The sequence below is a fragment of the Homo sapiens genome, chromosome 7, assembly GCF_000001405.40.
Source record: "Homo sapiens chromosome 7, GRCh38.p14 Primary Assembly".
NCBI classification, from domain to species: domain Eukaryota; kingdom Metazoa; phylum Chordata; class Mammalia; order Primates; family Hominidae; genus Homo; species Homo sapiens.
This window is the reverse complement of record NC_000007.14, coordinates 29962223-29986695: the sequence shown is the minus strand read 5'-3', so window position 1 is coordinate 29986695 and position 24473 is coordinate 29962223. Positions and strand designations below refer to the sequence as shown.

The following is a 24473-nucleotide window of genomic DNA, read 5'->3' as shown; positions in this document are numbered from 1 at the left end:
TTGCATTAGAGGATGAATGTGAAGATATGCCAAAGATATTTAAAATAGCAAGTTGTAAAAATACAGAAATGCATGCAATTTGTGTCTGTTGAAGAATAAGAATACAGATAAACAAAAGTTATTTTTTTTTAAATCCGTTTTCATTAGAGTCTAGATCTGTGCTGTTTCATCTGGTAGCCACCAGCCTCATGTGGCTATTGAGCACTTGAAATGCAGCTAGTTTGTATTGAGATATGCTGAGTGTAAAATATACACACAATTTCAAAAATTTAATATGAAGAAAGAATTTAAAATATCATTAATAATTTTATATTGATTTTATATTGAAGTAACATGTTGGATATATTGGGTAAAATATATTACTAAAAATAATTCCATGAGTTTCTCTTTACTTTTAAAAATGTGGCTACTAGAAAATATAAAATTGCAAATATGGTTCGCATCTGTCTTGCTCTCTCTCGAGACAGGGCCTCCCTCCGTCACCCAGGCTAGAGTGCAGTGGCACGATCTCGGCTCACTGCAACCTCTGCCTCCAGGGTTCAAGCGATTCTCCTGCCTCAACCTCCTGAGTAGCTGGGATTACAGGCGTGCGCCACCACAGCCCGGCTAACTTTTGTATTTTTAGTAGAGACAGGGTTTCACCATATTGGTCGGGCTGGTCTCGAACTCCTGACCTCAGGTGATCTGCCCGCCTCGGCCTCCCAAAGTGCTGGGATTACAGGCATGAGCCACCTCGCCCAGCCCTTGGATTATATTTCTAGTGGTTTTTAACAGGAACTGGAGGGTGGCTGAGCTCATAATGCTGTTTGTAGAACTGGGTATGTAAGGAGAAGTTAAAACAGAAACTGAAAAGGGGACAGGATGGACGGAAAAGGGACTACAAGAAGTGAGTGACCAGGGAAACTGTAAAGGGAGAGAAGGAGTATGTGGTGGGCTGGGACTGCTGAGTATGAGACTATGAAGCAGAATAAGCACACTACGTGGTGATCTAGGACATGGGGACAGTGGAGTGTCAGGGTCTATGGTGGTGGGACTTCAGCTAGGATGGAGAAATAGCATGGCTAACATAACTGCACAGTGCATTGGAAAGTAACTTCCTCATTCTGACACATCTGTGTTCCCATATCGAAATGAGATGAATACACCCCAGTACAGTGAGAGGGCCCTGGGCTGCAAGTTAGGGGACCTGGGACCTAGCTCTGGTCCCACCTCTAATTAGGAGTTTGGCCTTGAGCACACCACTTATCAGTCTCCTTCCTTTTATTTTTATTTTTATTTATTTATTTTTTGAGACAGAGTCTCACTCTGTCACCCAGGCTGGAGTGTAGTGGCGTGATCTCAGCTCACTGCAACCTCTGTCCCCCCAGGTTCAAGTGATTTCTCCTGCTTTAGTCTCCTGAGTAGCTGGGATTACAGGTGCGCACCACCATGCCTGGCTAATTTTTGTATTTTTTAGTAGAGACGGGGTTTCACCATGTTGGTCAGGCTCGTCTCAAACTCCTGACCTCATGATCCGCCTGCCTCAGTCTCCCAAGTGCTGGGATTACAGGTGTGAGCCACCGCGCCCAGCCCAGTCTCCTTCCTTTTAGGATGAGATGAACAAGAGCTGTCTACCAACTTCACTGGTTATGTTAATCTGTTAGATTTGGCCAAATTACCCAAAGCTACTTTCCCCACACAAGTCAAGACTAGATATTATCAAATTTTTAAATCTTTGTTCACCTTATATATTTAATTGGCTCCTTATTTTAATTTGTAATTCTTTTTTTTTTTTTTTGAGACAGAGTCTAGCTCTGTCACCCAGGCTGGAGTACAGTGGTGCTATCTCGGCTCACTGCAACCTCTGCCCCAGGTTCAAGCGATTCTCCTGTCCCAACCTTCTGAGCAGCTGGGATTACAGGCGTCTGCCACCACGCCCAGCTAATTTTTGTATTTTTAGTAGAGGCGGGGTTTCACCATGTTGGCCAGGCTGGTCTCGAGCTCCTGACCTCAAGACCTCGGCTTCCCAAAGTGCTGGGATTACAGGTGTGAGCCACCACGCCTGGCCCTTTAATTTGTAATTCTCTAATTGTGAGTGAGATAAATATTTTCTAGTAAATATTTTGGCTATTTATAATTGTTCTTCTTTTAACTGGTGCTTATATATTTTGCATATTTTTCCTTTGAGGTGGTCATCTTTTTCTTATTGGTATGTAAGAGCTCTACATATATTAAGGGAAATTATCTCTTTTTCATGTATTTCCTAGTTTCTCATTAAAAAAACTTTGCCTCACAAGAAATTTTAAGTTATTTTATAATCGAGTCTATATTTTCCTTGTTGAATTGAGTTTATGTTTTTGCTTGCTAATGTTATTTAAAAAATTTATCCATATGATTTGTATTTTTGTGGTTTTAATTGTAAAAATTTAAAATTCTAAATTATAATAATTTATTTTGGCTTAGGAGTGAATTGGGGATCTCAACAGATTTCTTTTTTTTTTTTTTTTTTTTTGGAGACTGTCTCACTCTGTCGCCCAGGCTGGAGTGCAGTGGTGCAATCTTGGCTCATTGCAAGCTCTACCTCCTGGGTTCAAGTGATTCTTGTGCCTCAGCCTCCTGAGTAGCTTGGCTCACAGGTGAGCGCCACCACGCCCGACTGATTTTTGTATTTTTAGTAGAGATAAGGTAATGCCATGCTGGCCAGGCTACTTTTGAACTCGTGGCCTCAAGGGATCCAACCACCTCAGACTCCCAAAGTGCTGGGATTACAGGCATGAGCCACTGCGCCTGGCCAATCTCAACAGATTTCATTCTTCCTTTCCCCATCCTGTTATAGTCAGTTATTCTGGCAACACTTATTCATCTCAGTTTCAAATTCAGTCTTCATCATATGCTAATTTCCTACATTATATGGCTATATTTCAGGACTTTCTACTTCTGATTCTATCAGTAACAAACTATCTTAATACTGGAACTTTATAATATAGTTTAATTCCATGCAAGTCTAGTATTTCCTCATTAATTTTCATTTCTGAAACTTGGCTAATCCCACATATCCTTTGCAGATGGACCTCAAGATCATTTTTTGTCAGATTTTCTCCAAAAGCCCTATTTATATGTTGATAGCTGTCATATTGACTCCACAGATTAATTTAGGGAGGGCTGACTTTTTTACATAACACTGAATCTTTCTAGCAAAGAACAGGAACATTCTCTGTTCTTTAAATCTTCTGCCATGTCACCATAAAGTCTTTTTTTTTTTTAATTATACTTCAAGTTTTAGGGTACATGTGCACATTGTGCAGGTTAGTTACATATGTATACATGTGCCATGCCGGTGCGCTGCACCCACCAACTCGTCATCTAGCATTAGGTATATCTCCCAATGCTATCCCTCCCCCCTCCCCCCACCCCACCACAGTCCCCACCATAAAGTCTTAAGAGTTTTCTTCATTGAGGATTTGTGCATCTCTCTCTCTAGTAAACTGACATAAAATGGCAGAATCCCTGTAAAGAAAACTATAGAACTCTAATGATGAACTTAAAAAAAAAGCTCACACCAAAGAAGAGACACTTCTTGGGCCAGGTGTGATGGCTCATGCCTGTAATCCCAGCACTTTGGGAGGCCGAGGTGGGCGGATCACGAGGTCAGGAGTTCGAGACCAGCCTGGCCAACATGGTGAAACCACGTCTCTACTAAAAATACAAAAATTAGCTGGGCATGGAGGTGCATGCCTGTAATCCCAGCTACTTGGGAGGCTGAGGCAAGAGAATTGCTTGAACCCGGGAGGTGGAGATTGTGGTGAGCTGAGATCACCATTGCATTCCAGCCTGGGCAACAGGGCGAGAATCCGTCTCAAAAAAAAAAAATGAAGAGACACTTCTTGCCCTTGATTGAGAAGATAGAGTCAGGGCAGCCTGGTGTTTAAGAGCATTTTGGAGTCTGAATTTTTACTCCACTACGTATTAATTATACAACCCTGGGCAAAGTACTTCACCACTTCACCATTCTTTTTTTTTTTTTTTTTTTTTTTGAGACAGGGTCTCGCTCTGTTGTCCAGGCTGCAGTGCAGTGGCATAGTCATGGGTCACTGGAGCCTTGACCGCCCAGGCTCAAGCAGTCCTCTCACCTCAGCCTTCTGAGTAGCTGGGACCACAAGTGTACACCACTACACCTGACTAATTTATTTTTATTTTTTTGTAGAGATAGGGTCTCCTTGGGTTGCCCAGAATGGTCTTGAACTCCTGGACCCAACTGATCCTGCTGTCTCAGCCTCCCAAACTACTGTGATTACAGGCATGGGCTATAGCACCTGGCCACTTCACCATTTGTAGCTTTCATTTTCTCAGCTGTAAAATGGACATAATACGTGTGTGATGGGTTATTGTGAGGATTAAGTGATTACACACACACATATATGTATATGTATGACTTAGCATGTTATTAAGCACATGGTGAATGCTTAATGTTCTAACATACAATTTTAGATGTTATGATTGTGATTATTTTAGCTACCCCTGTCAAATGAATCTGTAAATTCAGTATAATTCCAATCACAGACCCAGAGGAACACTGGAAACACTTTGTCAATTTTTTAAAAGTTTGACTTGGGAAACAAACCAATGGAAGAGCCCATAAGTGAGGAAAAGAGTCAGTGGGAGTGAGCTAGAGTATTGCTTGCTTTATGCCAGAGTATATCAACCACAGGCCTCCAAGACTTTGTGCCTAGCCTGTACTAGTGACAGGCGTGTCCTTTCCCGCTATTCTTTGCCTCCTTTCTACCCTCACTCCCATACCTACCCACAATCTGAGCCTTCTATGGAATGTTCTTCTCAACATCGCTTAGGCATGGTTATCAGGCTCTCATAGGTGGAAGGGATGGCAAAGACCACATACTCTCATTCATGAATTTTTTTGTGATAGGTGAGGTTCTTTATGTCCAAGAAGGTAAGAAGTGATGTATATGTTAGTCATTTCTAGCTGTCCTCCCTTCCTCAGAAGCTCCCAGTGTCATCAGGGCCCTCACCCAATCTTGTATGGGGCTGAAGGGAACTGGGTGGAATGTCAGTTCACTCAGTCAGGCTAGTAGATAGAGAGCCTGGGGCCTCCCAACTTGAACTTCACCTGAAGCTGGGAGAAGGAGCTTGAGATGGTTCATGATCTCTTCTTCTGTTCTTAATGATTATGTATTTAACCTAAATCTCCAAGTGCTTAATTTACTCCCCTGTCAGCTAGGCATGTTTGAAAGCTCTCATAAACATTTCTGATCAATATCCTAAGTTGGGTTACTAACTTTCTCTCTTGGTTGTGTTCATAGACAGCTCTTCCAAATGATAAAAACCTTGAGACATCTTAGCTCTGTTTTCCCTGCAGTTGAACATAGTGCTTGTAGGTGGTTAGGGGCTCAAAATATATTTTAGTAACTCATCTGACTTAAAAATCCTAACTAAAATTATGTAGTGATCAAAAGCTTTCCTGAGTATCTTTTTCACCTCTTTCTTAAGGTAAAGCTTTAGTGTATTTTTTTTTTTTTATTGCACTTAGCAGTGCCTTAGTGACCTGGAAGAATTAATGAAATGTCTTAAAGTGTTCTTCTTAAGCACTGAAATGATCAGATTTTAGAAAATAATTAAAAGACCAATAAAGCAATATGAGCTTGCTGTAAAGAATTTTAAAACTATATAACTAGATGAAGTAAAATTTAAAGTTTCTATCTCCCTATCCCCATCTTTACTCGCACTCTCAACTCCCAGTTAGATATTAATCCTTCTAGGTCTTTTAAAATCTATCTATCCATCCATCTATGTGCCTATCTTTCTATCTACCTACCTATACTTATATTTACATAAATGTATATGCACGCATATATAGGTATATACATATACATAATCATGTATTCATATATGTGTATATATTCCTTTTTGATAATAAAATGTTTTAAATTTGATAATGATAAAACACAACAAGTAGCTCTAGAATTAATGGACATTATTAATGGACTTTTACAAAGTAGTTTTAAATTCCACTTTGCCAGACATAAAGTAACCCTTTGTTTTTGGACCAGCAAGATTTACATCTTATTACCTTATTTCTTCTGTAGAAAATGAATGTTTGGCTAATTTTTTAGTGATGGAGAGTTAAATGGCTAACGACCATTTTAAGGATGATTGGGAAAATTTTTTTTAAATCCCAGTTTACAGAGTTAACAAAGTACATATCAAATCACATTAATGGGAAAAGATCAGAATACACAATGCACTGTTTTGATGGGAGAGGAAGACAGATGGTGGGAATAGGAAGGTCATAATTCAAAGCAACCTTGCCAAATTAGTGGACACAATGGCAGCAATGTCAAAAATAAGAACAGAAGGAAATGAAAGGACCTGAGATGTGGCTTGCTCAGTACCTCCCTATTTCCCACAGAGAATGCTTTTGGCAGCTCACCACAGCCTGCCTATTTCAAACACATCCTTCATCCTTTATGTCCATCATCATTACATCCCTGTTCTTTATGATCAAGTTAAAGGAACAAACCTTTCTTGAATTTATCTCTATTCCTGACACTCTACATATATTATCTCATGTAATCCTCATAACTGTACATGGTTGACATGGCCCCATTTTACAGATAAGGAGCTTAGTAAGTAGAGGAGCATCACCTGGAATCTGGGTCTATCTGACTTTTTTAAAAAGCCATAATATAACCTCTTAGAGTAATTATCCTGACTGCATAGGTCTAGCCTGTAGGGATAATCTTATGTAAATCGTTTTCTTCCTTTCTTTATATTTCTATGAAAGAAGGAAAATTGTTTTCCAACCTGCCATGTATAGGAAAACGTCTTTCTTACAGTGAACTTGATCTGACTATATTTTTCTAATTTGGCTAGCTTAAGTGAAAATGAATCCTACATAAGTTATCTGTTCCTTAATGCATTTTAAAAAAATGTATCCAAGAACAGATGCCATTCCATTAATCTCTCCTCTTTCCTTCACTTACAAAATCCCTAAAAGAGTTCTTACATGATAGATGTGCATGAAGACTGCATTTTTAAAAAGTGGGATCATATTTTGAATGCACAGCGGGGTGGATAGAGAATCACTGGGTATGGAGGAGTTCTTGCAGGTGGTCCTTGAATTCAAGTGTGTCCCAACATTGAATGGGCACGGCGTAATGAGACATGTATCTACACTATTATTTTTCAACTATGTAAGGATTCTATTGTCATTGCGTACCTACAGATTCATTAAAGGTGTTACTAAATTCATAACATATATTCATTACATATTTTCCCCAGCAAATTACAAGGACTGTTATGTGGAAATGTTCATGAATTTTTTTTTCTTTTTCTTTTTGAGATGGAATCCCACTCTGTCATCTAGGCTGGAGTGCAGTGGCGTGATCTCGGCTCACTGCAACCCCTGCCTCCTGGGTTCAAGCGATTCTCCTGCCTCAGCCTCCTGAGTAGCTGGGATTACAGGCACGTGCCACCACGCCTGGCTAATTTTTGTATTTTTAGTAGAGACAGGGTTTCACCATGTTGGTCAGGCTGGTCTCGAACTCCTGACCTTGTGACCCGCCCGCCTCAGCCTCCCAAAGTGCTGGGATTACAGGCGTCAGCCACCACACCCGGCGGAAAATTTTTGACATAAAAAAATTGGGAAACATCATATAAAAATATTTTGCATTATAGATAAATTCTGAAGTGACTTGAAGAATACTTTTGTAAAATGATTAGTTACCTATGAATAAATGTAGGTTTTGAAGCACAACATTCCGTTGAACTCTATATTTCCCTAGTTACTAATCTGCCACATGAATCACGACAATAAATTAGACATTTTGCTTTAATTCATATTTCTCATTATGACTGTATCTTGCAAATGAGGCAAAATCAGATGTGGCCAAAAGGTAAAATTAGTTCATTTGCCATGGCTGAGCTATGGGGTTCTCCCAGAGTCTCCGCCTTATTGCAGGGCCATACTTTTTAGCTGCAATTAATTGGATAACAGATTACTTTCATGCAACTCTTTCTTTTCTTTTTTTAAAAAATATTTTCGTTACATTCACAACACCATGCGATGTTGTGTATGGGGGGTTAATTCCATTTGTATATGAGGAAACTCTGGCTCAGAGTTAGAGAAGTCAGGATGGCTACTAGGGCCTGGTGTCTCTAAAGTGTGTCATTCTCTTGTACCTATACACATGGGGCTGCAGGGCTAGGCAGGCGGTATCAGTGAGTGCAATTACACAAAGGTGAGGAGAGGTGGCGCTTTCATTGGCCTCCGTGTCAGAGAGTGGAGGGGACAATAGGAAATACAGGCCCTGTTGAGAGGAGCCACTACCCAACTCCAGTCTTGCCATCATGCGGGAATGTGGATTTGGTGTTGCCAGATCTTTGAGTTTTTAGCAGAAGCCAAATATTTGAGTGTCCATAGGAAATCTCTGGATCTTAAAATATTAGCTGCTAATTCAGATTTCTAAAAACACAATCTAATGCAGCACTCTGGGCCAAACCAACCAAATCTGCAGTCTGTCACCCCTGTTCCACACCACGCTGCTGGGAAGTATGTCAGCTGCAGACTGGCACTGAAGACCACAGAGTTAACTGTCAGAAGTAGATATTGCCTTTGAAATTGGAGAAAGAGACTGTTAAGCAGCTCTTAAAAGACATGAAGTGACAATGAAGCAAATCTTCAAAAGGTGAAAGAGCATTTAGACACTTCAAGGAAAGTTTCTGAAGTCTGAACAGATAGGCTTTGACAAAGGGACCGCTTTCATCACGTATCCTTCTCTTGTTCTCACAATAATTGAGTCCTTGCTGTGTCCCAAATGGTATTCTGAGCACTTTGTAAGTAGGTATAAGCATTATCTCATTTAAATCTCACTGCAACCCTGGGAAGAATGAACTACCTATCATTATCCCTTTTTTATAAAAGCTTGGAGAAGTGACAGGGCTGAGATTTGAACCCAGGTGGGCTTCAAAGCCTGCTTACTCACTTAATAGCCCATACAGTTATTCTTCCATTACTTGGTTCCTCATTCAAGGCATTGAATATTAGGAGCTGGAATTCACTGGCTGTGGAGTCCCAAAGCTTTATGCTCTACTCTCATGAGCTTTCAATGAAACACTTAGTAAAATCTTTCTTTTGGGCAGAGCTTGATGAGTCTGAGCTAATTTATATAGATGACTTTCATCAGCTGGCATTTACATCCCAATTTTTAATTAGCTAATTCCTTTCCCAAACACTTCATTTATTCCTATTTCAATAGAAGGTTTAAAACAGAAAAAATCAATTTGTAAATGAGTATCATTTGTCCTGTTTTCAGTTAAGCAGGAATGGCAATCATTTAAAAATGAATTTATTAATGAAGAGTATAATAATTTCTCCTTTGCTTTTCTGGAAGGTGGTAATTCACAGTCATTGAATTTAAATGTATTCAGTCTGCTCAATAAAGCTGGTAGTGTGGAGAATAGGGAAGTCTAGCTGGACATTTGGGTTTCATTCTTTACGTAAGTAAAGGCAGTTGGTCATCGGTACTTGCAAGACGCTTAATAAACCGATAGCTTATATAGACAGTTATTTTCTTTCTCTTAGGCAGTCAAGGCTTTCTTTTCAATGGGTAAGGTAACTGATGAGGGATACTGTGTGCATCATTGAGATAAAGGTGCAGGGCAGTCTGGCAGTCATGCAGAAAAAAACCTTGCCTTGGCTCAGAGCATTCACGCCTTCAATAACTACTCACTGAACTTGAGGACAAAGACCTTTTCTCCCACACAGCTTCCTCCCTCCTCAGCTACACATTCTGTATGTGGTCTCCTAGTTACGAGAGTACAGTACTCCAGTCCCTCAAGCCTGAACTTGGGCCTCCTGCCACCAGTCAGAGGATGAATGCTGGTACATGCAGCTCCTTTGCAGTAAACTCCAGGGAAGCACTACTATCTTGTTCCCAAGAGGAAGTCATGAATCCTGAAAGAAGTTTGATAAGGAGGACAGTGGTGGTTAGAAACTAAGCTTAGGGATGCTTTATCATAGCCAATGGCACAGTAGCTAAAGCTGGATGGTCTAATATGGTAGCCTCTGGCCACATGTGGCTCTTTAATTTTCTAATTTTTACTTCTAATTGTGGTGAAACGCACATAGCATAAAATTTACCATCCTAACCATTTTTAACTGTAGAGTTCAGAAGTGTTAAGGACATCCATATTGTTGCACAACTGATCTCCAGAGCCTTTTCATCTTGCAAAACTGAAATCTGTACGCAGATTGTAAACAACTTATTCCCTTCTGCCCAGCCCTTGGCAACCACCATTCTACTTTCTATTTCTATGAGTTTTACTATTCTAGATGCCTTATGTAAGTTTTTTCGTGACTGGCTTATATCACTTAGCCTAATATTGGCTGTTTAACTTGAAATTAATTAAAAATTTGGTTCCTTCGTTGAACTAGCCACATTTCAAGTACCAGATAGCCCATCCGGCTGGTGGCTACTGTATTGGATGGTGCAGATAGAGACTATTTCTATCATCTCAGAAAATGCTCCTGGACAGCGTTGGTCTGAAGGAAAACTGGTGGCTCGCACTGAGAGCTGATTGGAGGGGGGACAAGGAGAAAAAGTAGCAGATATTTTTTTATACTCTGCCAACGTGAATAATCTGACTTCTTTTCTCTACCACAAAAATGTACCAGCTACATGATACCTTTACATTTACAACTTCCATCCTTATCCTAAACTCCAGTCTTTAATGTCTCCTCTCCTCCAATAGCATGCAACATTAAACTAATCAGTTGGAAAATACAGAGAACATAAATGTATAGTACAAACTACAGATAAATGCACTTTAAAATACTCTTAACAAGGACTTCTTAGGAAATGCTTGTCAGCTTACCCATCTATGGGAGTTAAATTAGAGTGTTTCATTAATTAGAACTGTCAGTGTATTGCTAACCTGGCAAGAATCCTAATGGGTATTTGCCACAAAGAAGCCTTATTCAGCAGACCTGCCCTTTTAGCCTGTTGCTTTTAAGTTTTTTCCTTAAGACTCACAGTAAGAAATGTTACATCTCAACATAGTACCTATAGACGCTTATATGTGCATGTGTATGGACCTAAACTTAAAATTAGAGTTTCTGGCATTAGTACTTACCCTTACTGTATGAGATGCATACATGCTTTCTAAAAATGCTTTTCTGAAAAAACTTGTTCCTATCCACTAAATTGATTTCATAAACCACAAAAAGGCCACAACATACAGTTAGGAAAACACTGTTTTGGATACACCCACATCCAGTTTCAGGCCTATAGTGTAACACTGAAGCCCCACCGCCATTTCTGGGTCCCCACGGCTCAGAAAGCAGCTTCAGAATTATGCCTCAAACAAGGAAGTTTTTTAAAAAGCCATCAATTATAGCTTTATTTCTGGACAAACTCTGTTCACTGATTTTAACACCCGTTTAAGTAGAATGTAGTTATGATGGAAAACCCCATCATCAAATGCTTATATTCTACTTTTCAAAGCTGAATATAAATAAGTTTTCTCATGTTCTAAGTTTTTATATTCGTGTATGTGATTGAGAGTTAATTGAATTTTAGGTTCTTTTTTTCTTTTTCTTTGTGAAGGAGAATATACATTTCATAACGTTGTATGAGATTATAAAGGAAAAGGAGAAAAATCTTAAAGCCAGTTTCTTGTGTCATGCATGAATAATTTAACAGTTTTTAAGAATCATGTAGGGCTGAGCACGGTGGCTCATGCCTGTAATCCCAGCACTTTGGGAGGCCAAGGCAGACGGATCACGATGTCAGGAGTTTGAAACCAGCCTGGCCAACATGGTGAAACCCCATCTCTACTAAAAATACAAAAATTAGCTGGGCACGGTGGTATGCGCCTGTAATCCCAGCTACTCAGGAGGCTGAGGTAGGAGAATTGCTTGAACCCAGGAGGTGGAGGTTGCAGTAAGCCAAGATCGCGCCACTGTACTCCAGCCTGGGCGACAGAGCAAGTCTCCATCTCAAAAAAAAAAAAAAAAGAAAGAAAGAAAGAATCGTGTAAACAAATATTTTAAAATGCATGTTTTATGTAATATATAAATGATGTAACTTGTCAGTTTTTTTTCATTTTAGTGTGAATGTCTGGTATGTTACCCAATATTTTGACAGATAATAGGAAGAGAATTGAGTTCCTTTGAATCACTTTCCGAAGGGTTTCGTCTCAGGTTCATGAGAGCTCTGGCTTCCAGACTGGCCAGTTTTTCTTTTCCCATGTGGACAACTGTAGGAGGCCAACTCACTATTTGTGTGAAACATAGTAATGAAACATTGTGTGCTCTCTGAGCAACTCTGAATTGGGCAGGTGTAAAAAAGGTAAAAGAAAGTATCAGAGAACAATGCCAAATAAAAAAATTCATCCTAGCTATAACTCATATAAGAATTTGCCACTTTTGAAATTTCAGATGTATTAGGATATAGATGCAGAACTAAAATTTTTCTTTAAAATTAAATTCCTAAATTGCTATTCTCTCCTGGGTTTACTTTAAAAATCATTTCTGGGATTATATCAGTAAAAATACTTATAGGAAAGTTGGAAATTAGAGGAAAAGATGAAAAAACAAAGAATATTTCATTGCTGGGCTCCCACTGTTAATATTTTGAATACATTTCCTGGGCAAGTATTTGGGCATAGTCTTTTTCTATCTATATTTTAAATAAGATAATTTATCTTGCCCCTCAAATCATTTCTTCATGCAATTAAAAACTCTTCACAAACATATATTTAATGGGTTTATAGTATTCTACCCGATAGATGTAGCAGACATTTTCAGCCAGTTCTCTGATGCTGGACAAGTAAGTTTCAGTTTTTCGCCTGTATGAATACCACTACGTGAACACTTATGCATACCCCTTGCCCATATTCCTGATTGTTTCCTTAGGATACGTAGATAGAAATGAAATTACTTATTCTATTTTCATCATTTCTGTCTGCTTTGTGGTTTCCTTCCTATCACAGGCAACTTCTTTGATATTGTCTGTATGCAATTTTCAACCTAAAACCTGACTTAAAAGCCTTCAGTGCTTTACTGTGTGTTGTGAAATAGACACTAAAGTACTTGATGTGACCTTCAAGGCTCAGTGTGGACCTGCCCATCATATACCCACCTCTCCAGGCCTCTACCCTACTTTCCCTGTCCTCAGTTGCATCAGCTTTTTAATTTCTTGGCTCCGTTCCTTTTCTCCAGTTGCAGGGCCTTCAGGCCTGCATGTCCTTTCTCTGAAACATTCTCCCTCCATTCACCTGTCTTTTGTGGAATAGAAAGTGAGACCTCTGCTTAGAGGAGGTGGTTGGAGATTTGAAGAAAAGTGAAGGTGTCAAAAATTCATTTAGGAAATAGAGGAATTGGCCAGACAAGTACACAAAGGATTCCCAGATAGTAATGAGGGCCACTCTCATGGTGTTTTCAGAGTCAGGATATGAGATTCGCACCAAGAGAAGTGTAATTGGCATCTACAGCTATGATTACCTTTAACTTATGTAATCTAAGTCAGCCTGGTGAGTTTTGTAGCTGCTTCCTAAAGTTTGTTTTCTTCAGTCTTCCGGAAGTGTCCCACCTCCTCTTTGCTAATTCAGTTTATATGGATGATAGCACATTTTGTCCTTAGAATAAGAGGACTTCACAAACAAGAACTTCTGAGATCACTGGAAGCCTTAATATGAAAATCTTCATTTCTGGGTTTCTTTGGGACTCTGTGTCACTGTCCCGTCCAATGGAGTTTCTACTAGCTACATGTGGCTATTTAAATGAAAATTAATTTACGTTTTGAATAAAATGGAAAACTGTGCTCCTTCATCAGTCTAACTACACTTCAATAGCTGCCTGAGGCTAGTGGTCACCATATTGAATGGTGGACATACAACATTTCCATCATTGTAGAAAATTCTTTTGGAATTTTCTACAGAAAATTTTCTTTTCAGAAAAGTCATCTCTGAAGCTAGTCAGTGCACACATGGTGATTCAGGAAAAATTAATGGACTGTTAGCCTGGGCTAGTTTGCTCCTAGGTCTGATGCACACTTTGCTGGTTCATCTAGCTTTTTAATTCTTAAAACAGACTTTGAAATTCTGCTCCCTGCTGGCATTCCCAGTCATTCACAAAATTTAGTGGAAAAGCCAGCCTCCCTTGGCCCACATACCCCTGGGCTTCTGTTGCCTATATCCTCATCATGATCATGCGACCCAGATTATTTGCTGACTAAGCAGGTGCCTTGGCCAAACAATAGGTGCTTGCCCAAAACCCCATGGGTTTTATTTATATTCTATAGATAAATCTCATAAATGCAAAATTGGTGGATTTCTACCATTTTTAAGGATCAAATAAAGTAAGGTTCTGCTCCTAGGCAAGACACTAGCTCTTTTGAAATGGCCCAGTGATGGGGAGAGAGGGAGCATATGAGATACTCGAGGCATCACACAAGATAAATGCATCCTTTCCCCATCTTATCTTCCTCTGGGTCTGTTTCACTTTATTTGTCTCCAGCAATTCCCCCGATGCCCAGATTCTAGTAGCACTCTATAAAGGCATTTGATTTCATAATTATTCTAGGTCTTTCTTGTGCATACACATTCTTTGTTTATCTCTCTCTACTCCTCCAGTCTGAAGATAAAGCCGTTTTTGTGAAAATGGGAAAGGTTAAGGGGAGAAAGAACTGGAGCCTCTTTATCTTTCTGGCTTTTCTTCCCAGAGGGAAGGGGTGATGTTCTACTGAGCTAGAAGGGAATTATTTTCAGAATTGTGGGGGCTCCTCCATTTCTCTGCACTCTGGGGAGGGGCCTGCCATAAACAATGCAGGGAAGAACTCTGAGTGTGCATGTAGAAATTAACCTGAAGTAGATTGGATATAGAAATAGCAATACAGTCCCATACAAAGAGGTTTCTAAACATAGAATATTGATGACTCTGCAATTTGGTAACTGCTCTAATTAGGAATGAGGCAAGTAGATTTTGATTGGTTTGCTTAATAGAAAATTTTAGATATTGCTCTATTTTAACAGTCAAAACCCAAATAAAGTTTTTTTTTTTTTTTTTTGAGACAGGGTCTCACTCTTTGCCCAGGCTGAGAGTGCAGTGGCGTGATCTCGGCTCACTGCAGCCTCAGCCTCTCCGGGCTCAAATGATCCTCCCTCCTCAGCCTCCCAAGTAGCTGGGACTACAGGTGCATGTCACCACACCCGGCTAGTTTTTGTATTTTTTGTGGAAACAGGGTCTCTCCATGTTGTCCAGGCTGGTCTCAAACTTCCAGGCTCAAGTGATCTGCCTGCCTTGGCCTCCCAAAGTGCTGGGATTACAGGCATGAGCCACCACACCCAGCCAGCAAATAAAGTATCCTATACTTATGCATCCTCCACAGTTTGCAAAACATGTTCTCAAGGATCATTTTATTTGATACTCTGATAAACCTGTGGGCTGTGGCAAAACATTTGCAAGAGGGAAACCTAGGCTCAGAGAGGTAAAGTGACTTAAGCAGGTCACACAGCTAGTAGGTGGTGGAGCTGAGTTTTGAATCCCATTCTTGTGCTTTTCTGAAAAGATTGCTGTACTTCTCACTTATATTTCAGACTTGTAAAATAAAACACATGGAAGTTGGATAATTGATGACACAAATACAATAGTTGGTACACTAGATAATGTTTCTTGAGTGCCTGTAATGCCAGGGGTTGGGGAAAGGGCTACTATGGTTGGATGGCATCAGTCCTGCCTTCAGGGAGCTTTCTTTGAAACAGGTAAAGAAATATACAAGCAACATATGTACATTATTTTATAACAAAATGGATGTATTAGTACCTGTGGGTGGTGAATAAATGAGAGTCCTTTATAGAAGTCTTTATGAAAGAAAGGGTTTTGAATCAGATCCTGAAGGATATGTACAAAGACTAAGGGCAGGGCATTCAAGCCAGGTGCAGAGGCATGGCGGGAGAAAAGAGAGATATTAGAGAGTCAGCTTCAGTATGGTGGACTATTAATAAACAAGAAAAGAACCCTTGTTTATCACTCATTTAAAATCTACTCTGCATAAGACATAGTGTACGGCTGCGGTTACAGCAGTGTGCAAAAGGGAAAGGTCCTTGCTTTCATATTGCTTAGATTTTGCTGGGAGAGACTAAATAATGATTGTTGGTAATAAAATAATCAAACAAGTATTTCAGATTATGATAATTACTTTGAAGGAAAAGGACAGGATTCTATGAGAGTGTATAGTACAGCAACACACATTAGAGTACTAGAGTGATATTTGAGCTGGTACATGAAAGAGGAGGAGTTAACCAGGCAGATTGTTTTGGTACAGGAAGCAGGGAAGGGAGTGGTGAGGACAAAGGATGGAGCATGTGCAGAGGTCTGGCAGGCACTGGAGGAGCTAGAAAAAGGCCTGTGTGCCGGCATTGTGAGAGTGGAGGGGTGAGTGGTAGAAGATGGGGCTGGGAAGGGGAAACAAACTTGATCATATTTTGGTCTTTATTCCAAGAGCCTTGGGAAACTGCTGAAGTATTTTAAGCAGGAATGGTGTGATCAAATCTTCCTTCTAAAAGGATCACTTTGGCTGCAATGCAGAGAATGTTTTGGAGTGGGGAGTGATAGAGGTTTTGGAGCAACCCCTCCGGAAGTTATTGTAGTGGTCCAGGCTGGAGATGGTGGTGGCTTGGTGCAGGGTGGTGGCAGTGGAGGTGGAGAGGAGTGGGAGGTTTCCATAGAGATTTAGGAGATGGAATGTACAGGACTTGGTGATATATTAGATAATGGAGAAGCAAATGGCAAGGATGGTTACCTTGGCTACCAAGATAAAGAACCTTGAAAAGGGAAGAAGATGAAATCAGCTTCGGATATCAGGCAGGCAGCTGGGTCTGTGGGTCAGAGGCTTAAGGTGAGAACCCAGCTGGAATTAAATGTGTAAGTCATCAGCATGTAACTGACAAGGGAAACTCTGAGCATGGATGCATTTTCCCAGATAGAAAAGATCATTAAATGAGGAAAGAAGGATGAAGCAGTGAGGATGTGCACTGGCCAGGTAGAACAAGCCAGTCCAGGAGCAGCTGGGGAGGTGGACGGAAAACCAAAAGGTGTTTGAGTGTTATGTCATCGAGGTGGAGTAAAACTACTAAAAACAACAAAGCAGGGTATCTGTCAATTGATCTGTAGACCCATTTCCTCATCACACCCCAAATCTGTTATGTGGTGGCTATGCATTTCTGGATCTGAGGCATTTGTGTAGTTAGTTTTAAGGTATGTTTATTTATTATTTTATTACTGTGAACAGATTGCAGTGTGTGTATGTGTGGTGTGTGTCTGTGTCTTCTGCCTAGAACAATAACCTCCTTTCCTTTCTCCCACATCACTGCACTTTTGGCTGCCGCTGTGGTTTGTTGCAAATCTGAGCTCATTTAATCCCACAGAGTATTAAACAATATCTGGTCTCGGTGGCTCTGTCATTCCACTGCAGGCGTCCCACCTTCATTTGCCAGCTGGGATCTCTTAATGAGCTAGCTGTGCACAGTTCAATAGTAAAACCCTTTTAGCTGGTGAAATATGTTTGAAGAACTCACTGTTGGAGTGTTCCATGTGAGGCCTGCTTCCACTCTTGCTGGCATTCTCTTTTCAGGATGGCTGCAGCTCCTCCAAGTTACTGTTTTGTTGCCTTCCCTCCACGTGCTAAGGATGGTCTGGTGGTATTTGGGAAAAATTCAGCCCGGCCCAGAGATGAAGTGCAAGAGGTTGTGTATTTCTCGGCTGCTGATCACGAACCGGAGAGCAAGGTTGAGGTAAGCCGTGCATTGCAGTCTCGCGAGTCACACTCTCTTTTCTCTGGCTTTGCCGCTAGCACAACCCTAACTTCTTGCTTGGAAGCTTGCTCACAAGTCAGAGCTATCATGTCAGTTCTGCTGATTCCTGTTTCCATGCAGGTTTGCTCATAGCCTTGAAAACAAGGTCATGGGAGAGCTCTATGCTCACTGCTATGGCCATTGTTTTATAATTAAGTGAAATATGTACATAGTTCTGAAATCAAATCTAAAAAACAAGATTTATTCATAGAAGTCTAACTTGTATCCTTGTCCCCTTTACTCCATGATCTTTTCCCCTATAGGTAATCATGTTTTGGAAGATCTTGGTTTATCCTTCCATTTGCAAAATTACACATATATATGTAACAAATCACACACACATGTGCATATTCATCCTGGTCCCTTTCCTCCTTTCTTCGATTAACAGCAGCATGCCATATATACTTTTCTCTACTTTGCATTTTTTTTCATTTTTATTTTTTTATTTTCTTCAATCAGCTTTCTCAGGTTGAATCTCTACTTTGTATTTTTCAACTCAAAACATATTCTGGAGATCACTCCCTACGGTACATGCAGGTCATAATTCCTCATTTAGAGCTGCATGGTGTTTCATTCTATGGATGTATCATAGTTAACCAGCCCCATATTACTGCTGGACATTTGGATTGTTTTCAGTCTATTGCTATTACAAACAGCACTGAAGTGGATAACAGCCTTATGCATCTGTCATAGTGTCTGGTCTCAGTTTATATATTTTTATCATAATAAAACATTATCCATTAATTCTTATTTCAAATCTTTTAAAAATACTATTTTTGTCAGTATTTCTTTGGGATAGATGCCTAGAAATGAAATTGCTGGGTCACAAGGTAAATAAAAATGTAATTTTATTAAATATTATCAAATTTCCTTCCATAGGTGGTGTACCGTTTTGCATTCCCATCAGCACTGTATGACAATGCCCATTTCTTCATATTCCCAGAATGTGTTGTCAAACTTTCACGATGGCTATTTTATGTTAATTATACTTTCTGCCATTTTACTAAATTCTTTTATTGGTTGTGTCAGCTTTTATCATTGCTTTTCTTGGGGTTTTCAGGTATATTTTTATATCACTTGCACATAGAGATTGTTTAGTTGTTGTTCTGTCTTTAATTGTTTTCTTGTTTGATTGCTTTGGCTTATAGCTCGGGTTTTATGTTAAGTAGTAGTGGAGATAGTGGGTGTCCTTGGCTCTGCACCTGACCTGAGTGGGGCTGTCTCTAGTGCTTCCCTATTAAGTAAGCTGCTGGTTTTGGGATTGAGATTTATATAGTTTTATGTGCCACTGCACCTGGCTTATGATAAAAAGTATACATCAGTCAGGTACAGTGACACATGCCTGTAGTCCCAGCTACCCTGGAGGCTGAGGTGAGAGGATCACGTGAGCCCAGGAAGTTGAGACCAGCCTGGACAACATGGTGAGACCCCATCTCTTTAAAAAAAAAAAAAAAAAAGTATACATGAATTTCTATTTTGAGTATTTCTAAAAACAACAACTCAAGAATAGATATTAAATTTTGTTAAGTATCTTTTCAGTAATTATGGAGATAATCACTTATTTATGTGATAAATTGAACCATCTTTGCATTCAGGGCATAACCTTCTTGGTTATGTTTTGTTTATAAGTGTATTTACCTGTGTGTGTTTGTGTGTGTGTGTGTGTGTGTGTGTTTAGATGGTAGTTTGTTAAAGGATGAAAAATCTGGAGAAAATAAATTAGGGCTAGTAAATGAAGAAGCTCTTTTCACTACATAACCTCTATTCTTTGGTGCTCTGTGCTTCACAAAATAAACTGATTTTTCTGATGATTGTGCTTGGTTTCAAATAGGCATTCATCAATTTGTATTTTCTTTTTTTTTTCTTAAATTCTTCCATTACATCCAATGTGTATTTTATTTTCATATCTAAATCTTAAATCACTGGCTCTGTTTCAGTTCTTTAAAAGCAGTAATCAGCACCAAAGAGCAACAGAACTCTATGAGGGGCTGCTTACTTTACATGAATTTAACAAAGGCACTGAAATGAACAGGCAGCTGGGCAGGGCTTCACATGGGCTGTCTGGATGGTCTGGTGGCAGACTGTCTCCTACTGGGCTTTCACCAGACCCACTTTCCTCTCTTACTGAGCCACTAACTTAATAAAAGCCCTTGCAACTTTAGTGGGATTTTCCTTTCGTATAGGTGAAGAAGAGTGCTAGGTTCCCTGGTGAGCATGTTAGGTTTTAAATGGGTATTCATCAATGAGTGAATGTCCATGTTATTTGGGTCCAAATGTTTCTCTCTTTTCCTGGAACAGAGTGGACTCTGTGTAGATAAAGTTTGCTGATTTGAGTTGTTACTGACCTTCCTTGTCTGTCCTCCCTGAACGTTTCTATCTTTTTTTCCCAAAAGACATACAAACTAAAATAATCTTTGATTTTTACATGGGCAGATTTAAGTTCTCAAAGGTGGCTGCACCAAATCCCATCCCAAGTGCCCTTCTTCCAGTGTGAAGGGCACTCCTTCCACGAAGAGGGAAAGGTGAGTCTATGCCCTTCACTCTCACTGTGAATCTTTGAGGGCTTGTGATTGCTCTGACCGGTGGAGCATGGTGGAAGTGATGCTATGTGACTTCCAGGGCTGGGCCATAAAAGGATACAGCTTCTCTCTCTCTCTCTCTCTCTCTCTCTCTCTCTCTCTCTCTCTCTGTCTCTCGGTCTCTCTCTCTCTGTCTCTCTCTCTCTCTGTGTGTCTCTGGTTCCTCTCTCTCTCTCTCGTTCCTCTGTCTCTCAGATGATTCCAGGCCCCAGACACTGGAGTGGAGACACATTATCCCTGCTGTTTGCTGTTCAAATCCATGAGCATTAAAAAAGTTGTTTTACACCACTAAATTTTGGGGTAATTTGTTAAGTAGCCATACTAACTTCAAAAATCACACAAAGCCATTTATAAACATGTCTGAAATAAATATTTCAAAAAAATTTGTTTTCTTTTTTGGAGGATAGGCTACATAACTCTTACTTTACTCTCATGGTTACAATTATTTTAAGGACGAGGCTAGATTCCTTTTGCTAGTTAACCTATGGTATATGATTACTCAGATATATTTAGGTTAAATCCTGTCCCCTTCCATACATAAGTATAGTGTGATATATACCATAATTAGCCTCTAAGGCAGCTCTGACCTCTCTTCTGAGTTCCATACCTGTGTTTTGAGCTGCCTCTTTGCGTTCCCACTTGCATATTCTGCAGGTGAAATAACCTCACGGGTAAGAAAGCAAATTCATTTCCCCCAGCTCATATATGTTGCTGTAACAACATATGCATTGTCGGCCACGTAGTTTATACTAGAAGCCCACGGGAAACGTCGACCCTCACTTCCCCCATCCCCAATGCACAGGGACAGCTGTCACTGAGTCCCGCTGCCCCCTCTCTTGTTTGTCCATCTCCTCCCCGCTGCCCCTGACTCGTTCAGACTGAGTCCATCTCTTTTCTGCTACAATCTTCTCATTTGTCCCTGGGTCTCTTTCTCCTGGGTTCTTCTCCCTACAGGGTTACCAGAATTTTCTTCCCAGAACATAGATAGCTCTACCACTCCCTTGCTGAAAAGTGTTTCGTTTTGTTTACAGGATGAGAGTCCAAGCTGATTTGTATGCCATTCAGAACTCTTCCCAACTGGCACCCTGCTCACTTTTCCTTTCTTTTATTCTCTTTCATTCTTTTCTATTTTAAATTGATAGACTATTTTTAGAGCAGTTTTATGTTTACAGAAAAATGAACAGAAGGCACAGAGAGTTCCCAAACAGCCCCTTACCCTGCCCTCTAGTTTACCCTGCTAGTAACGTCTGGCATCAATGTGGTACATTCGCTACAACTGATGAGCCAATATTGACACAGTATATATATATATATATATTTTGTTTTTTGAGACAGAGTCTAGCTTTGTCGCCCAGGCTAGAGTGCAGTTGCACAATCTTGGCTCACTGCAACCTCCAGCTCTCGGGTTCAAGCGATGCTCTTGCTTCAGCCTCCCAAGTAGCTGGGATTACAGGTGCCCACCATCATGCCTGGCTAATTTTTGTATTTTTAGTAGAAACGGGGTTTCATCATGTTGGCCAGCCTGTCTTGAACTCCTGACCTCAAGTGATCCACCCGCCTCGGCCTCCCAAAGTGCTGGGATTATGGATGTGAGCCACCGAGCCCGGCCTGATACAGTATTATTAACTAAAGTTCATAGTTTATACTCTGTGTTGGATATCCTGTGGGTATACCTATATGTATAATGACAAGCCATTGTAGTATCATAGAGAATACTTTTACTGTCCTAGAGGTTCTGTGCTCCACCTATTCACCCACCCACCCTAGCCCCCAGAAATCACTGATCCTATTGTGTCCATACTTTTGCCTTTCGTAAAATGTCACATAGTTGGAATCATTCAGTGTGTAGCCTTTTCAGATTGGCTTTTTTAAACTTAGTAATGTGCATTTAAGGTTTCTTCCTGTCTTTTCCAAGCTTGATGACACATTTCTTTTTATCACTGAACAATATTCCATTTTCTGGATATACCAGGTTATTTATCCATTCACCCACTGAAGGACATCTTAGTTGATTCTAAAGTTTGGCAGTTATGAACATAGCTGCTATAAATATTTGTGTGCAGTCTTTTGTGTAGACATAAGTTTTTAACTCATTTGGCTAAAGACATTTTAAAATGTAATTTTTCATTTTGAATAGGTAATCATATATTTATGTGGTTCAAAGATTGAATGATATTTAAAAGGTTCACAGTAAGAAGTCTTCCTCCCTTGTCTCCATCCTGTATAACTCTTATTAATTTCATGCATATCCTTCAAGTATTTTATGCAAATCCAAAAAAACTGAATATCAGGCCTTATTTTCTATTGTTTTGTGTGAATGCAGCACATTATGTATACTACTATTAAACATGATTTTTTAATATATAACTTTGAACTTACAGAAAAGTTCTGCACTTTCCTATTTTCACTTAACATTTTCTAAAGATTTTTCTATAGAGATTGTCCTTATTTTTTTCTTACAGCTACATAGTAATCCATTGTGGAGATGTACCATAGTTCATTTAATTAGTGCTCTATTGGTAGATGCTTGGACTCCTTCCAGTATTTTGCTAGTCCAGAAAGTGCAGCTGTGGAGAACCTTGTACATAAGTCATTTTGTGCATGTGTAGATACCATTGGATGTACTTCCAAATGTAGCATCATTGGGTCATAGGGTAAAGCTTTTATAAGAATTGACCTCCGTAAGGGTTATACAATTTCCTGCTTACTTTTCTATTCTCATTGTTAGCTCTGCCCTCTCAGCTTGTACCCTAGGCCCCAGCTACACTGAACTGCTTGCCTTTTCTTGAACAAATAACACACTTGCATTTTTCTGTGCTTTTGCTCTTTCTGTCCTTTGCTGAGAAGATCCTTCTTCTCCCCTCCTCTCATCTACTTGGTAGACTCCTGTTTATCCTTCCAGGCCTCAACACCAATATCCACTCCTCCCTTTAGCCTGATACTCCTCTATGCATGTCAATTGAAATTTACAACCACCTGAAACTAGGAGGATGAGTTCTGGCCCAGGAGAGAGGGGTCCTAGGTTCGTGTTTTGCCTCTCCCTTTATAGTGTCTTGGGCCTTTGAGCCTCTCTGAAACTCAGTTTCTTTATTTGCCAGATAGAGATCATAATACCCCCTCTGCCTGCATTACAGGCTTTAGTGAGACACACGTGAGCTGATGCATGAAAGCACTTTGTAAAGCTTTAAGGAGAACATTGTGAAGAAGGATTTTTTTTTTTTTTTTAAAGAATTGACTAATGAGAATTGCTGTGACTCCGGGTCTCAGTTCCAAAACTGTCTTTGGCACATCACATACTACTGAATCTGCTTTTCAAACTTACTCTTACCCCTTTAGTTCCCTTACAGTTACATCTGTCTCCATCTCCTATACTTGTACCAAGTACAGAATGATGGGTTCTTTCCATATTTAGGTCTAGGAGCCACAATTACTATCATGTAACTTTTATACAAGCAACTATTAAAATACAGACTTTTTTAAACTATGAAGAGTAAGAACTTTTCATAAAAACCCATCTATTCCTCAGCCATTTCATGACATTTTATGTTATTTTATGTTATTTTATTTTATTTTATTTTATGTTTGAGACAGTCTCACTCTGTCACCCAGGCTGGAGTGCAGTGGCATGATCTCAGCTCACTGCAACCTCTGCCTCCTGGGTTCAAGCAATTCTCCTGCCTCAGCCTCCCAAGTAGCTGGGATTACAGGCATGTGCCACCATAGCCGGCTAATTTTCGTATTTTTGGTAGAGACAGAGTTTCATCATGTTGGCCAGGCTGGTCTCAAAACTCCTGAGCTCAAGTGATCCACCCACCTTGGCTTCCCAAAGTGTTGGGATTACAGGCGTGAGCCACCATGCCTGGCCCATTTCATGACATTTTAAACATGTGTCCTGAGGTTTCCCTAGAAACCTCATACTTGAGTGTTGAGGTCCCAGGAAATCATTTTCTGAGAATATAACCCTCTATTATATAATTTATTATATAATAATTTAATTATATATAAACAATTATCTAATAATTATATAATTTAATTACATATACATAA

General features: G+C 39.9%; 1 protein-coding gene across 5 annotated transcripts in view; it reads left to right on the top strand.

Annotated features, from left to right (window-relative positions):
* Nucleotides 1–24473, top strand: part of SCRN1 (secernin 1) — a 70187-nt gene that overhangs the window by 3594 nt on the left and 42120 nt on the right. For 3 of the 5 annotated variants that reach the window (NM_001145514.1, NM_001145513.1, NM_014766.5), the window contains exon 2: nucleotides 17628–17787. The exons of 1 other annotated variant lie outside the window; for it this stretch is intronic. In NM_001145514.1, coding sequence (NP_001138986.1) covers nucleotides 17628–17787 — 160 coding nt within the window. Of the gene's footprint in view, nucleotides 1–17627; nucleotides 17788–20285; nucleotides 20370–24473 lie in introns of those variants that run through there. One more of the 5 variants, XM_047421085.1, reaches the window with a different exon arrangement.